General features: G+C 38.8%; 1 protein-coding gene and 1 pseudogene across 4 annotated transcripts in view, besides 3 other annotated features; one reads left to right on the top strand and one right to left on the bottom strand.

Moving 5' to 3' along the window:
* The window catches only part of UBXN2B (UBX domain protein 2B), a 40,141-nt gene extending 23,309 nt beyond the window's left edge, over nt 1-16,832 (bottom strand). For all 4 annotated transcript variants that reach the window (NR_156456.1, NM_001077619.2, NM_001363181.1 and 1 more), the window contains exons 1-2: nt 16,724-16,832; nt 11,240-11,343 (exon numbers count right to left, since the gene is read on the bottom strand). Coding sequence is in view for 3 of the 4 variants with exons in the window: in NM_001077619.2 (NP_001071087.1) it covers nt 11,240-11,343; nt 16,724-16,807 (188 nt within the window). In the remaining variant the exon portion in view is untranslated. The remainder of the gene's footprint in view (nt 1-11,239; nt 11,344-16,723) is intronic.
* Nucleotides 1,343-3,200, top strand: PTPN11P2 (PTPN11 pseudogene 2; annotated as a pseudogene).
* Nucleotides 16,387-16,436: an enhancer, noted in NCBI's record as "active region_27410". NCBI's record gives its function as "activates an Ori minimal core promoter by ATAC-STARR-seq in GM12878 lymphoblastoid cells {active_cell/tissue: GM12878}" and the evidence as "EXISTENCE:reporter gene assay evidence [ECO:0000049][PMID:35858748]".
* Nucleotides 16,717-16,766: an enhancer, noted in NCBI's record as "active region_27409". NCBI's record gives its function as "activates an Ori minimal core promoter by ATAC-STARR-seq in GM12878 lymphoblastoid cells {active_cell/tissue: GM12878}" and the evidence as "EXISTENCE:reporter gene assay evidence [ECO:0000049][PMID:35858748]".
* Nucleotides 16,777-16,836: an enhancer, noted in NCBI's record as "active region_27408". NCBI's record gives its function as "activates an Ori minimal core promoter by ATAC-STARR-seq in GM12878 lymphoblastoid cells {active_cell/tissue: GM12878}" and the evidence as "EXISTENCE:reporter gene assay evidence [ECO:0000049][PMID:35858748]".

The raw sequence follows: 17,280 nt of genomic DNA, 5'->3' as shown, positions 1-17,280 counted from the left end.
CCCGTGCATTTACTCCCTGTGGTAAGATTTTTGCTCCCATTGTGCTACTGAATCTCAAGGTTTGCTACTGAATACTCAAAGGTTCTGAGTTATCTTCTCATTGCCAAACACAAAAGACTTCCCTCAGTTATTAAACACTTTCTGAAACATTTGATCCTTTTGAGCCTATCCTTCTTCTCCCTTTCGCTGTTTCATAGTTGAACTCTCTCCTGGACTTTCATACCAAAATTGTTTGTTTCTTTGCCCAATGGGATCCAACATCTCCTTCTCTATTTTACTGAGTTTTCTTCCTCCTCCTCTTACATAAATATGCCCATATCCTTGACTTCAATTCCCCTCTATTTAAGCTCATGTCATCATCAAAATATTTATCCACTGCCAAAGATAACCTCTTCCTATACAGATGACTCTGAAATATGTGCTTTTACCACTCACTTATGGTCCAGTGTTGAATTTAAAAGCACCTGCTAGATAGTTCTACTTCACTCAAGTTCATCTCCAAAACTGAAGCTATTTCTACACATAAGCCCTCCCATTAACAATCACACTTTTTCCTGTATCCCAAATTTAAAACATTTAAGTCTTCCCTCTTTCCCACTGGCTTACTCCCTATATCCCATGTCATTACATTTCTACAATGAACACCTTTAAAATATCCTGCATTAATTTCACCCTTTTCTCTCCGTTCCATTGACACTACCTCAATCCAAAATTTATTTATATATTTTTTGAGACAACATATGGCTCTACTGCCCAGGCTAGAGTGCAGTGGCGTGATCTTGGCTCACTACAACTTCCACCTCTTGGACTCAAGCTATCCTGCCACTTCAGCCTCCCGAGCAGTTGGGACTACAGGCGTGCACCACCACGCTTGGCTATTTTTTTGTAGAGATGGGGTTTAAGCCCTGTTAACCAGGCTGGTCTTGAACTCGTGAGCTCAAGCGATCTGCAATGCTTCAGCCTCCCAAAGTGCTAAGATGACAGGCGTGAGCCACCGTCCTTGGCCTTGAATCCAAAATCTTATTACCTCATTCCTTAGTTTACCTCAATTGTTCCTGTCTTGATTTCTTTCTCTCTTTATCCTGTTCTCTCCATCCTCATTAATTTTATATAGTATTGCCAGTCCTATTTTCCTAAATGAATAGTAATAGCTAACATTTATCAAGGGATGACTATGTGTTTAGTTAATCCTCCTAACAATGGTATTACTCCTATTTTACAGGTAAGAAAACTAAGACTGAAGGAGTTTAAATAACTTGCCAATTGGCAAAACCTTATTAGAAGACAGAGAAAAAAAAAATTACAGGGAGGAGGAGCAAGCCAGCCTAGGGGGCGGCTGCACAGTCTCCAGGATCCCCAGGCCTGGAGGGGGGTCTGTGCACAGTCGGCTGGCTCCGCCCCGCATCTGGTCCCGAGCGGGCCTCCCTCGGGCCAGCCCAACGTGACCGAGCCCAGTGGAGCCTGAGCAAGGAACGGGTCTGTCACGGAGCCGGAATGTGGGAGGAACATGACATTGTAGAGATGGTTTCACCCAAATATCACTGGGGTGGAGGCAGAAAACCCACTGTTGATAAGAGGAGCTGACAGCAGTTTTTTGGCAAGGCCTAGTAAAAGTAACCCTGGAGACTTCACACTTTTTGTTAGAAGAAATGGAGCTGTCACCCACATCAAGATTCAGAACACTGGGCCGGTCACGGTGGTTCACACCTGTAATCCCAGCACTTTGGGAGGCTGAGGAGGGCGGATCACAAAGTCAGGAGATTGAGACCATCCTGGCTAACATGGTGAAACCCCGTCTCTACTAAAAAATACAAAAAAATTAGCCGGGCATGGTGGCAGGCACCTGTAGTCCCAGCTACTCAGGAGGCTGAGGCAGGAGAATGGCATGAACCCAGCAGGCGGAGCTTACAGTGAGCCGAGATCATGCCACTGCACTCCAGCCTGGGTGACAGAGCGAGACTCTGTCTCAAAAAAAAAAAAAAAAAAAAAAGATTCAGAACACTGGTGATTACTGTGATCTGTGTGGAGGGGAGAAATTTTCCACTTTGGCTGAGTTGGTCCGGCATTACACAGAACATCACGGGCAATTAAAAGAGAAGAATGGAGATGTTATTGAGCTTAAATATCCTCTGAACTGTGCAGATCCTGCCTCTGAAAGGTGGTTTCAGGGACACCTCTCTGGGAAAGAAGCAGAGAAATTATTAACTGAAAAAGGAAAACATGGTAGTTTTCTTGTATGAGAGAGCCAGAGCCACCTTGGAGATTTTGTTCTCTCTGTGCGCACCAGTGATGACAAAGGGGAGAACAATAACGGCAAGTCTAAAGTGGCCCATGTTATGATTTGCTGTCAGGAACTGAAATACGATGTTGGTGGAGGAGAACGGTATGATTCTTTGACAGATCTTGTGGAACATTACAAGAAGAATCCTATGATGGAAACATGGGGTACAGTACTACAACTCACGTAGCCCCTTAACACGACTCGTATAAATGTTGCTGAAATAGCAGAATTCGAGAACTAAGCAAATTAGCTGAGACCACAATAAAGTCAAACAAGGCTTTTCGGAAGAATTTGAGACACTACAACAACAGGAGTGCATACTTCTCTACGGCCGAAAAGAGGGTAAAAGGCAAGAAAACAAAAACAAAAATAGATATAAAAATAACCTGCCCTTTGATCATACCAGGGTTGTCCTACACGATGGTGATCCCAACGAGCCTGTTTCAGATGACATCAATGCAAATATCATCATGCCCAAATTTGAAACCAAGTGTAACAATTCAAAGCCCAAGAAGAGTTACATTGCCACACAAGGCTGCCTGCAAAACATGGTGAACGACTTTTGGCGGATGGTATTCCAAGAAAACTCCTGAGTGATTGTCATGACAACGAAAGAAGTGGAGAGAGGATAGAGTAAATGTGTCAAATACTGGCCTGATGAGTATGCTCTAAAAGAATATGGCATCATGCGTGTTAGGAATATCAGAGAAAGCACCGCTCACAACTATATGCTAAGAGAACTTAAACTTTCAAAGGTTGGGCAAGGGAATATGGAGAGAATGGTCTGGCAATACCACTTTTGGACCTGGCCGGACCACGGAGTGCCCATTGACCCCAGGGGTGTGCTGGACTTCCTGGAGGAGGTGCACCATAAGCAGGAACGCATCATGCATGCAAGGCCAGTCGTGGTGCACGGCAGTGCTGGAATTGGCCGGACAGGGACATACGTTGTGATTGATATTCTGACTGACATCAACAGAGAGAAAGGTGTTGACTGCAACATTGACGTTCTCAAAACTATCCAGATGGTGCAGTCTCAGAGGTCAGGGATGGTCCAGACAGAAACACAGTACCGATTTATCTATATGGCGGTCCAGCATTATACTGAAACACTACAGCGCAGGATTGAAGAAGAGCAGAAAAGCAAGAGGAAAGGTCATGAATATACAAATATTAAGTATTCTCTAGCGGACCAGACGAGTGGAGATCAGAGCCCCCCCCCCCGCCTTGTACTCCAACTCCACGCTGTGCAGAAATGAGAGCAGACAGTGCTAGAGTGTATGAAAACGTGGGCCTGATGCAACAGCAGAAGAGTTTCAGATGAGAAAATCTGCCAAAACTTCAGCACAAAAATAGATGTGGACTTCACTCTCTCCCTAAAAAGATCAAACTTTCGCAAGAAAGTTTATGTGAAGACCAAATTTGGATTTGGAAGGCTTGCATTGTGGTTGACTACCTTTTGATAAGCAAAATTTGAAACCATTTAAAGATCACTGTATTTTAACTCAACAATACCTGCTTCCCAATTACTCATTTCCTCAGATAAGAAGAAATCATCTCTACTATGTAGACATTATATTTTATAGAATTTTGTTTTAAATTGAGGAAGCAGTTAAATTGTGTGCTATATTTTGCAGATTATGGGGATTCAAATTCTAGTTACAGGCTTTTTTTTTTTTTTCTTTTTATAACCTTAACCAGTTTTAATTTTTTTTTCCTCATTGTCGGGGATAAGAAGAAATGATTTGGGAAGATTAAGTAACAACATCTTAGAAAAGTGAGAACAATCTCATTTACCATCATGTATCCAATAGTGGATAATTCATTTTGATGGCTTCTATTTTTGGCCAAATGAGAATTAAGCTAGGGCCTGAGACTGTCAGAAGCTGACTGGTCTACCTTTGCATTGGCATTGAAGAGTCATAGAAAAGGAATCATGGATATTTATGAATTAAGAGGTGTAGCTTTTTTTTTTTCCAGCCGATGACCAATTACAGTTTGGCTTTTGACTGAGAAGGTTGTGGTGGGAAAACGTTTGCCATATTTTCTTTGCATTTGAGTAACTGTCTTCTACTCAGAAAAAAGGCATCTATGAATGACCAGTGTTTTTGGTTGTCAAATGTTGCTGACAAACTTACCCTAAAACTTTAGTGGCTTAAAAAAAAAAACCCATCCCCGGCTGGGCGCGGTGGCTCACGCCTGTAATCCCAGCACTTTGGGAGGCCGAGGCTGGCGGATCATGAGGTCAGGAGATCGAGACCATCCTGGTTAACACGGTGAAACCCCATCTCTACTAAAAATACAAAAAATTAGCAGGGCGTGGTGGCGGGCGCCTGTAGTCCCAGCTACTTGGGAGGCTGAGGCAGGAGAACGGTGTGAACCCAGGAGGCGGAGCTTGCAGTGAGCTGAGACCTCGCCACTACACTCCAGCCTGGGCGACAGTGCAAGACTCCGTGTCAAAAAAAAAAAACAACAACAAAAAAAAAACCCACCCCCAACTGTTCTTCAATTTGAGTTGGGCTCAGCTGGGCTGTTCTTCTGCCAGCCTGCAGGTGGCCACTCATATGGTCAGCAGGTTGGCGGAGAGACTGGGATGTCTGGGCTTCTCTTTCTGCCTGCAGTCCTGAGTCTCTCCTTCTTCGTGTAGTCTCTTTCAGTGGCCTGGCTGGCAGGTAGCTAGACCTCTGACATGAAGCTCAGAGCTCCCAAGAGCTCAAAAGCAGAAGTGGCCAGGCCTTCTGAAGACTTAAGTCCAGAATTGTCGCAGCTTCCCTTCTACTGCCCTCTATTGATGATGATGATGATGATGATGATGATGATGATGATGATGATTTCGTCTCACCAGAAGAGAGCTGGAGTATGCCCTCTACTTACTAAACAAGTCACATGCCCAGACCAGATTTTAAAAAAGGGTGTGAAGTAGAGGTGCAGTTAATTGGGAGGCCACTAGTCTAACAGACGGTCACAACCACTGCCATGGAAAACCAAGGATATTAGCAAAAGCAGAAGTTGCTAGTGACCTTGGGAAGCCAAAACTGCTTACAGTAGCTGAGACAAGCTGAAAGACTGAGAAATAAAGAGAGGGTCTTCAAGAAGCTTCCTGAATGATTTTTGCCAATCCTGAGCCTGTTTTTGGAACCAGCACTTGGGGAAACTGATCTTGTGAGGATGGATGTGTTTAGGGACTCAGGGCTTTTGAAAGCAGCACCACCCCACTGGGGCACTCCCAGACTTGGGAAATGTGACTCTTTCTTAATGCCACTGGTTTTTAGTCAGGCCACAGTGAGAAGGAACAGCCCTAACAGGCCTCCAGCCAGGTTGAACGAGATCATTTTTGTTTTAGCCAAATGGTAAGATTTGCTAATGTTCCACCTTAAGTGCCTTTTCCAAAGACATCCCTCTTCGCCTTATATGTTGAATCATCGAGTGTGGATATTTCAATGAAAATATCATTAATTGACTTTTGTGATGGTAATAAAATGCTGTGGCATCTTTGCTGTGAAGTTATTGTTTCCTCGGATTCTTCTGACTTTGGCTCCTGAAAGGAAGGCCTAGATCCAGCCCTGGTAGTAGTTCCTTTCTGAGGTCTCTCAGTCTCTTAAGACCCTGAGTTAGTTTGGCTGCCATTCTCACTAACAAAATGTGTATCAGCCCCTATCCCTGCCCCCCAATATTCATTGAACTTTGAATTGCTTCAGAACACGGGTGTGGCCTAAAGGTATTCCCTTATTAGGGAAATGTCATGACTGCTGTCTTCTAGTAAAACTTGTAAAGAAAAAGATTCCAGTTCAGTATTTGCAGCAAGAAGCTTGAATCCTGTTCTTTTTATTGCATTGTTACATTGACTCATTCTCCATTTTGCTTTGGTTTTGTTTTGACTTGACTTTGGGGGTAAAGTCTTTCACCAGCACACAAGAGTTTGATTGTACAAATATATCTCCGGTATTAACATCTCTGCCCGTTGCTTAAGATCAGTTGCTTTTATACTCAGAATGGAAATACCTGATCTTGGCTAGCTTTGTTTGTTATATTGATTTCATTTAGATTTCCCTCCACAAGGTCAGCAAACTATCATGTTCTTATGTAACCTTAGGCCAAGGCCAGAGTTATCATAGTCCCTAGGTTGCTAAGGCTTATCATGTGTTTGGTAAAAGGTGATTGCAGGTTCTCAGATGAGGTTACTTTACATGGGATGGAATCAGGCAGAGAGGCTGGGATGATGGAGAAAGCTTGAGGTGCAGGTTTTAAAAAAAGGTGTGGAAATTAAAGTTCCAAAGAGGTGGTTGCTGAGGAAGTGAGAGAGCCCAGGGCCAGTAATGAGAGAGCCCAGTCAGTAATGGGTGAGTCAGGTTATTTGGAAAGTTGGTATGACAAATACATGGTATTTGTCTACTTCTAGGTTGCTGGTAGGTATTAAATATGCACAATATTCCAGAGCTCACTGAGGGTTTTAAAATTATAAGCATAGGATTTTATATTTTGGGGTGAAAGAGTTATCTGGCACATGGTATTGGGTTTTTTTAAAAAAGACAAATTTCACAGTCTTAATAGCTTTAAAAAAAAAAAAAACTAAAAGGTGCTTCATGTCTAGTGTGTGGCCTTCCTGAAACTTATGGTCATCTCTCCCACTGAAATCAAGGTCTTTTGAAATGTGGCTAAATGGGGATGAGAAAACATGTGTAGGACTTTCTTGGTGTGTGTGCATTCTTTAAAGAGCCCAGTTGCTTCGGGGAAACAGTCAAGAAAATGGTCAAGATTGTTTTTAGAGGTAATTTTATTGGGGATTTTAAAACTAATAATATCTTGAGTTATTTTTAGTTCAGGGGGATGTGGAAAGGTTTGCAATTGTGAAGTGTTTTATTTTAGCTTAGTATCCATAAGGGAAACTTAGACTGTAGACATAACTACAAAGCCAGTGCAGTTTTTATTTTCTGTATGTTGTTGGGGGAATCAAGTTTTACATATAGCAAGCACATGGCCTCCCTGATGTCAGGATGCCTTTGTCAGGATCTGTATTTGCCCTTAATTTTATTGAAATAGCTTTTCCTTCTTCCTCTTGAAAAGTTCCAAAATATAGTTTATTGTATCTTTCATCATTAAAAATTTGTTCTTTTTTCACTACAGGCAGTTCACACAAGGCAAAAACTATTGAACAGTTGGTTTTAGTGGGTCATATAACTTTGCTGTATATCAAACTAATTTTGACAAGTTTTCATCCTAAGCCTCAAATCATGTAATTAATAATTTGTCTGTTTATTTGTGACCTAATTGTAATTCTTTTATTAATAAAAGCTAATGGGAAAAGGATCCCTGATTAAGCTGATGACTAGACCTACAATTAATTTTCCTGCAGTATATGAAGTACCAGAGTATTAAAAGATATTTAATATTTTATTGATAAATCTTTTAAAGGGAATATGTTTTAGGATGTCATCATTTTGATGTGAATCATGTAAATGTTGATAATATGCTGTTTATTATACATTTAGTGTTTCAAGAGATTCACTTAATTGCCTTTTTGCCCACTTACATTATGTAGTCTATTTGCAACTGTTTTTTAAAAAAATGACATTAAAAGAATACTTTATGTAGAGAAACATTAGTGGATGTTAATTGTCTCCCCACCTATATTTATGGGTGTTAGCGCAACTGCTTTGCTAGTTGCAAAGCTGTATTATCAGAGTAAAAGTGTATTTGTAAACTGTATGGGAACTAAAAATTAGGAATAAAACCATTTTCTTATATGAAAACAAAAAAATTACAACTGAGATGTATCCATCTTGAGTCAAAGCTTTTAACATTGTATTATAGTTTTGTCACTAAATTTTTATTAAAAGACAAATTGACTTTCCACTGCCTTCTACACAGGGGCAACTTATCTTCTTGGTCTTCAAGGCTGTATCCGCAACTGGCTACATAATTTGTGAGACCCAGTGCAAAGTGAAAATCGAGTCCCCTTGTTCAAAACCAATTAAGAATTTCAAAACAGTAACAGCAAAGCATTACTCCAAGCACAGGGCCCTTCTAAGCATGGGGCCTTGTGCAATAGCACAGGTCACATGCCTATGAAAGCCTTCCTGGCTGCACCCCCATCTATCCAACCTTATTTGCTACTAAGCTACTAAAGTTCTGCTGGTTCTTTTTCTGGTTCCTCTGGTCATTTTGATTATGTGACTCTCTGTTCCTGGAATTTTGTCCCTTGTCTTCTGTGCTTATCTAACTCCTAATATCTTAAATCCTTTTAAGGCCCAGCTAAGTACCAACTCTGTGCTAGGCATCTTATTCACTTTATCTCATTTAATTCTCAAAGCAATACTACTATACAATGACTTGTGGAGGACATATCCAAGTTCTGATTGTGATATTTAACTTTTCATGGATGAATATGTCAAAACAGGCATCAGACTATATCCTGAGGGTCTTTCTGTAGATTACGTAACTCCTCTTGTAAATTAAAAACACAGACCATCTTATGTCCAGAGTTTCAGATAATGAAACTGTCTTGGCTTAAAATGACAATGAGACAATAACTGTTTTGATTTCAAATACCGCCCAAGGAGGTGGACCATGAAAATAAGCACTGTTTTCTGTACCAAACAGACCTGTAGAAATACAACGAAACTGGGAAAATTTCGATATTGAATATGAAATCAAAGGAAGTATACACTTAGCATTAGAAGATATCATACGTAGAAAAAAAGATTGCGAACAATCTGCTATACATTGTATTATAAACAGATTAAACACAGTTTACGTCTCAACCTATATATTTTAAGGAAACTCAGTTCTTTTGATAGATAAATTATTCTAGAAATCAAATGTGAGGCACAAAATCCTTACAAACTGGATTACTGAATTATACCTATTAATCACAGCATTGTTTCAGACAGCATAAAAGAAAACCCTTCACTGAAATATCTTAATGATTATATTTGAATAGCAAGGAAAATATTAATACAGTAATCTTATGATAAGAACTCAAATATTAAGTCATTCAACTTATGTTCAAACTGGGGAAACAGTGGCCAAATAGTGAGTAAAATGCAAGTACAGAGATACATATTAAGTACTTTCAAGACTTGGGAGAATATACAAATTAAAGAAGCAGCTAAAAATACAGTATTTTATATGTATAAAGGTAAGAATTAAATGAAAGAATAGGATGTTCAACTAGTGTCAAGATACCAAACTGCTGATTACAAAGGACACACAGTATCTTACAATGGAGTGCTGTGGTGGTCAGCACCTTAACCAAATGAACATATCACTAATGGTGGAAAATCCTGAAATTATGACTCCTGTTGTCATGTAATAAATAGCAGACAATATCACTTATCTAGCATACCCGACAAAAATTCTAATAAAAATCTAATCATGAGGAAACAGTGATCTACAATGTTAGACATTTTATAAGACATCTGGCCTAGACTCTCTAAAAAAGTCAACATAATAAATTTTAGATTATGTAGCTGAGCTAAAAACAACAATAAAAAGGTGGGAAGAGTTCTGTGTATTCAGAAATTCAAAACAGGAATAATTAAATGCAATGCAATGTCCTCAGTTGAATCCTAAATCCAAAGAAAAAGCTATAAGAGATATGTGACTACTAACTATATATTAAATGGCATCACAGAATTACTATTAATTTTTTTTTTTTTTTTTTTTTTTTTGGAGACAGAGTCCTTCTCCATCATTCAGGCTGGAGTGCAGTCGCGCCATCTCGGCTCTCTGCAACTTCTGCCTCCCAAGATCAGGCGATTCTTGTGCCTCAGCCTCCCAAGTAGCTGGAATTATAGGCTCGTGCCACCATGCCCAGCTAATTTCTGTATTTTTAGGAGAGATGGGGTTTTGCCATGTTGGCCAGGCTGGTCTTGAACTCCTGACCTCAAGTGATCTGCCCACCTTGGCCCACCTAAAGTGCTGGGATTACAGGCATAAGCCACCACTCCCCGCCTGAATTACTATTAATTTTGTAAGGTGTTATCAATTTTGCAAGTGTGTGCTTCTTCTCGGGAGACTCATGCTGAAGTATCTAGAGGTGAAGTGTCATGATGGCTACAATTTCCTTTCAAATAGTTGAGTAAAAAAGAGAGAGAGAATACATGCGTGCACAAGTTCAATGTAACATTGTACCAACTTGGTGAATATAGGTGAAGTAAACACAGTATTTACTCTACTAGTCTTGCTTTTTGATGAACTGAAAACTTATAAAATAGACTTTCTGAGAATAAGATATAATGGGAAAACTGACGTTTCTTCCCCAGGGATGGTATTTACAGTACTAAAAAGATGTTAATGAAAATATTCCTGGCAACAAGAAAACTCACAGCAATAAAAGACACCTGGTTCTCATCTCTTAAGTCTTCACAGTTGGTTGTTTTTATACTTCAGGGATTTTAATAACAACAAATACTATTTAGGAGGTCACACATTAGAGGAATCATCACCCAAAGGAAGAAGAGACAGACTTCAAAAATCATAGATTCTTAAATGGAGGACAAAAGACCTGCAGAGGCTCCATGGAGTGGCTTCAAGAAACACACATATCCTTAAAAACGAATGACAAACTTGCACATGAAAGTTGTTTTGAGAGGAGAATTCTATAGCTTTCATCAGACCCTTAATGAGTCCTATGACTCAAAAAATATTAAAGAACCATTGTGCCCAAGAAAAATAGTATTCAGGATATAATTTCATATGATATCTACCAAAATATTAGGTATTTTAAGGTAATTTTTCCGTAAGTTTCTTTTGGCTTTCTGATTGTAAAAGTTTTAATAGTACCTAAATGATATTAATCATTTCTATTTTTTATCCAAATCTGCCTCGATCTTGGAATAATAATTTTTAAAAATTATTGAAGAAACCTTGAAGAAGGCCATTTAAAATAATTTGAAGTTAGTAAATTTTTAGAAAGGATTATAATTTCTTTTTACAACAAAACAAAATAAAACTTACCGTTGAGGTGGTGTCCGTGGGCTCTTGAAGACTGTGGCTTTAGGTCTATTAGACTTGGAAGATTTGCACTTCACTTCATCTTCATACAATTCTGCCAAGGCCAACTACATAATAACAGGCTTGTTACAAAGTATAACACTAGGAATAACCTCTTCCATACAACTAGAAGTTATGTATAGAACACTAACTTAAAATTGAGTGGTAAAGACTTTTCATGAAAAAAGCTGCTGCTTCAGATGATTCCTTTCTGAAATAAACTTACTGCATCTCATTATATAGAACTAACCAAAATGCCACATCTATTAGAATAACTTTAAGTTATAATAATTACTTGATTATTTTCAATTAACTACTGAACAGTGTCAAAATCTGTTTTAGGTAACAAACCATTTTCAAATTTAAACCTAAAATTCTTGTGCAATTCTTTTAAGAATTCCTGAAGATGTTCACACTAACGTCAGCTTCTTCCATCAGATCTCATAAAATAGTTTCATTCAGCTATTCAAGTTTTCAAACTCCAAGCATATAAAACAATTTCAGAAGTATTCTATTTAAAAGTCTACCAAACTTATAAATTTCATCGTGTTTAGGAAAATGAGTTTCTGAACAAACAAGACCATAAATTATATATGGTTTATATACCATTTAGAAAGTAATATTACCAAATTATACATTCTAGATATTGGCTGGATAGTTTATTTCAAAATGAAATAAAATTATATTTGTTCTTAAAATGGAATTTTAAAAAGTAATCCAATATTTCAGTATTGTATAGAATTTTTTCTGACTTTTGACATCTTTGGACAACAACTCAACAACTTTCTTTAATGCTCCTGTGGCTATTCAATTATAATTGGCATGACCATAATCTCCGGTTTTTTTTTTTGTTTTTTTCAAAAAAAACCCAAAAAACAAACAAACAAAAAAACCCAAAATCATAACAAAACAGATTAAAATGCTCCTTTTAGACACACAAATGATATGAAAACTACCTCCAAGAAGAACAGGGCATTGGGGCAATGTTAATTCTTTGAAAATTCTATTAGTCAACTTTTAAAATATACACAAATAAAACAAAATGAAAGACTTCTAATTTTTTTACCCCTACCCTCCCACATTCAGTAACATTCATATTTGTACAATGGCAACTTTGCTAGAAATCTGAATTATAAAAGTGTTTGGTAATCTAAAAGGACTGAATTCAAATCGTAACTTAGGCACTTCCTGTGTGATCTTGGGCAAATTATTTAATTTCTCTGAGCCTTAGTTACCACATCTTCAAATGCCTATAAAAAATCACCGTAGTCATTTGAAGGATTAAATAATGTATGGAAAGCACAAAGCATGTGTTCCATCACTAGAAGATATTATTCTTAAATGTTTAGTAATGATTGTATCAGTGTTTCATTTTCCCCAAGATTTTTTTTTCTTCCTACAGTGTTATATCTCCTTATGGTCCTTTACTACTCCATCCCCTCCAAAAACACAAAACAAAAAACAAACAAATGATAGAGGAGAGAGAGACAGACATGCACATACACAGTCTGATGACTAGGGTCTAAAGTTTTCAGAAATTTTACCTCCCTGAAATTTCTTTAAAGTAGTATTATTTTATGGATTTCCTTCTAAGCTCATTATGTCAGCTTTATGAATTACTTTTATGATATTCCTATTCTCATCAATGAAAATGTCATCTGTATTTCAAAGGCCCATTTCAGCTCTCCTTCACAAAACCTTTTCTAATCTTCTTAATATCTTTTTTTCTAAATACTCATAGCACGTAATACCCCCAATGACATTCATATTAAGCATTATGTTGTCATTACTTGTGTACTTTTGCTGTTTTATTTCCCCAACTAGATTTTAAGTTTCTCAAATTGTTTCTAATATTGTACCTAAAAGGCAACAAATTGACGTTGAATTATATAAAGAACATAATAGAAAATGAATCAGAAATAGATATAGATAGATGTATTTTAAATTGGGGTTATATTTGTTAAACACTTTTTGCTTTAACAAGATTTGAATAAATGCTTCCAATCAAATAACAATTTTCTTTGGTGACATAAATTAAAAAAGCAAAAATGCCACTAGCCCCATGGAATGTGGAACATACATTAAGAAAAGAGGAATATGAGGAAAATGATATTAAAGAGTCTACCTGGCTGAAAGATCCTAGTTATTAACGGTACATCATTAAAAACTTAGAAGAAAATGAGTAATATTTAGAGGGAGTTGATGCCATATGGCATCATATGGCATGAGTTCATTAGTAAATACTACAAAGAAATTTAATTTATATTATTTAACATAGATGACATTACATCAAAAGAGGAAATGATAATTTAAATTGATAAATATTAATTGAAGTACTGGTCAAAACTAACACAACAAAAAAATCTCAAAACGTAATTAAGAAAATGTTTCAATAATATGCAGAGGATAAAGTATGTAAGTAAAGTATTGATAATCTTTCCTCTAGAATTTGAAATGTGAAGAACTTGAAACCTGAAAGCAAAGGAATCGGGTGAGAAAATAAAGTATATAGCAAAATATTAAAAGTATTGGAATTCTCAGCCTTAGAGTAACCAATTCTAGACGCTGTAATAAATGATTATTATACAGACACCTGGGAACTTCTAGGAAATGCATATGCTTAAACTCTACTCTAGAACCAATGAATCACACTCTGGGGTAGGGCCCAGCAATCTCTGACAAGCCTTCCAGGTCACAGATGCATACTAGAGAATCAACGATACAGAATAATGACATTCAATATGATTAGGGTACTTGTGGCAACACAGTTATCAGAACAGCTATCAGACATTTTAATTCTTCTCATTTATAGTACCCACTATTGAGTCCATCCTAACAAATCCAATCCTAACCCTAACAATACTGAAGTTATCCCTGTTCCCACTCCCTCCCCGTCCAACCTATGTAGAAACAGATAATATGTGGAGGAAAACTGGGACAGAGTATACAACTAAATACCTTAATGAACATGTGTGTGGCGGGCTGAGGGACACCAGAAGAGAAAGCAATTCAGAAATACTATTGAACACTGGTGAGGTTTTGGGCTTAGTTTTGCCACTAACAATCCCACCCCTAACTTTCCCCATGACCATCTCCTTATTTGAGGGGGATGAAGGGAGCTATGAAAATCTACTCTGATATGCAAAAAAACATTTCCGAGTCTGCAGTTTGTAACCTGGGGGCTCCCAGGGCTGGGAGGCCTTTTGGGAAGCAACTATGCAGCTTTTCTCTGGTGGTACCTGGAACACTCCCTCCTGATTCAGATGCTGACAAACCCTACACTGCATGGCAGCTAAGATACACTTACTCAGGGGTAATTCTGCTTGTTCCAATTGGTAATATGTTGCCCCTTTACTCACTCTGAAAGACTCTTAGAGCAAGCTGTTAGGGAAGTAAGAAATATCTACTGAAAGCTGCACGAACTGCGTAACTCTTAAGAAAAGCATGTCTAGATTAAACGGTAACAAGATAATCTATAAATAATCAATATCCAAGGTACCATTTGGGAAGAACATTATTTAATTCTTTTAAACTTTTGATACATACTTTATTTCTTGATATGCCATCCCTTTGGCTGTTTTCAAGTTTCTTTGCAAGTTCTTCACATTCATATTAAGTTCTAAAGGAAAGATTATCAATACTTAGATACTGTACTTGATACACCAAATCACATTCATAAAGAAATCAGTTATCTTCCTACTGCCCTAACCTACAACAAGTAGACAGGAGATGAAAAAAAAAATCCCCATCATAACTTAGGGTGGAAATGAAGGCATTCTCACAATTAGCAACATCTACCAGAGTATCTCCAAACATTAATCGTACTTTGATCCACTGGATTAAGACTGCAAACAATTTGCCAAGAATCAGGTGGTCATTAAGCAAGCTGTTCTCACTTTTCACATAAAAAGAAGAAATGGATTTAAATTAGGGAAAGGACATTAAGTTACACACTCTATTAACTTTAATGATATTAGAATTGACTAGCCAGGGAAAGTTATAGCATCTTTCTCCTGAGGAAAAAGGAATCAAATATTTGCCCAGCAACAACTGAGCCAGGATAATGTAGGAATTTTGCATAGGCCCTTTATAACATTATTTAATCCTTACACCACCACCAGCACCCTGACCTTCCTCAGTTTACAAATGAAGACACAGGATCAGACAGGTTAAGACATTTCTCCTAAGTTCACAAAACTACTAAGTAGCAGGACTAAGAGGCAAACCAAAATTGGTGGGACTACTAACTCCATGCTGCCTCTTAGTGATGTGGGTTTATAATAGGAAAGATGAGGTACACAATAGCTTCCTATCCCTTGATACTGTTTACTACTACTGAACCAACTATGGGAGCTGGAACTATTCTACATTAAGTTCACCTCCTAATGTTACACTGATCTCTCCAGCCTCCAAATTCTTCGCTTTATGCACTGCTTATTTTGGCACCCAATCATACTCCATCTTAAAATGTTATGCTAAGTATTCATACCCTATTTCTCCGAAGAAATCTGTAGGCTTCCAAAAGGTAGAACTGTCTTTTACACTTACATACCTACCCATCAATAGAGTTCAGCACCGACTAAGGATTTGATGTCCTTATTTCCACATTCGCAAAGCTCAGCAGTATGTTACAATGGATGGTGGTTTGTTCACATTAGAATGAAGTGTGGTTGTAAAGTAATACAGTAAAACTGTTCTACCAAGATTCTCCTTAGTATCTCCTTACTGATATTTACTTGTCAAATTTTTATCAATAATCTTATAATGAGACACAAAAACGCCTAAAATGAGAAAAGTGGCGTTAGTATCTGATAAAACGGGATTTGGTGCGCTACTATTTAGCTAACTAATACTAGTGTCCTACACAACATTACGAAATTTTATTTCCCAGTTTCTTCAGTGCAATGTTTTAAAGACCACAGCTTAGACAACTAGGCTGTATGGGCATAGAGTGCATCGCTTTCCTTCACCCCTTTAAAAGAAAAACCTACCTGATAAAATGGAACCATTTTTATATTTAAGTAAGCAAGTCAGAAATAGCATCCAAGACAAAAAAGAACAAATCACGTATCATTACTGTTCAGGTGACTGTCTACTTCCCTGCGGCCACAGTAACCTTTCTTCTGGAGTAAGTCTCAAGAAGGAAGCATCAACCCGTGAACCGACCAACTGACCCCGCAAAATGTCATTCTAAACGAATAGCTATTTTTACATCATACGTGGGGTGGAAGGGAGACAAAGCACCAGCGCTGGAGGCTTGGGCACTTGTGTTCACGACCACCACAGTGTCAAGACCCGACATCGGGAGACCGGGCGCCGGATTCTATCCCCAGACGGGGTCGGGGAAAGGCTCCGCCGAGGCCAGAGGTGGCCTCCAACTCGCACCAGCCCGCGCCGTCACCAGCCCGCGTCCACCGCCGCGCTCCCTCCCCCGGCTCCTCGCCTCACCTGCAAATCCCGCGCGCTCGGAGGCCGCGGCCCGGAAGACCTCCTCTCCTGCTCGCCGGGCTCAGGGCCTCCGCCCTCCGCCATCTTCCGCTGGCTAGCGGCGCCCGCTGCGGACGCACCTGCCGCAACTTCCGGGGCCGGTTGCCTGGCAACCGCAGGAGGGGCGAAGACGCGCAAGGTGCGTGCGCGTCCCCGCTACCCGAACCCGCGCCCCCGCTTCCGGTGCTGGCCCACCTTTTTGGTTTCTCCTTTTTTCTTAAAGGGAGTTTCTCCGCAGGGAAACCTCTGTTAAGTTTTGTGTTGCTCCTGCTACTCGCCTAAAGGCACTGTAGGCCGCCCTAGAGGGCAGCATAGACTTGCAGATTCATTTAGCTCAACAATGAAAACATCCTCTGGATTTTTCATCTGATGAAAAATTGCAACCTCTCCATCTAGTCTTGGTCAGATTCTCTGATCTTTCCTATCAAGGATTGGATGGTACATCGTCACCACAGCGTGAATTAGCACTGAGAGTGAAAAACACCGTAAAAAGTGCTTGGAATAATTTGCTAAAAGCA

Source organism: Homo sapiens, chromosome 8, assembly GCF_000001405.40.
Source record: "Homo sapiens chromosome 8, GRCh38.p14 Primary Assembly".
In the NCBI taxonomy this organism is placed as follows: Eukaryota; Metazoa; Chordata; class Mammalia; order Primates; family Hominidae; genus Homo; species Homo sapiens.
The sequence above is the reverse complement of the archived record's forward strand: the minus strand, read 5'-3'. Positions and strand labels throughout refer to the sequence as shown.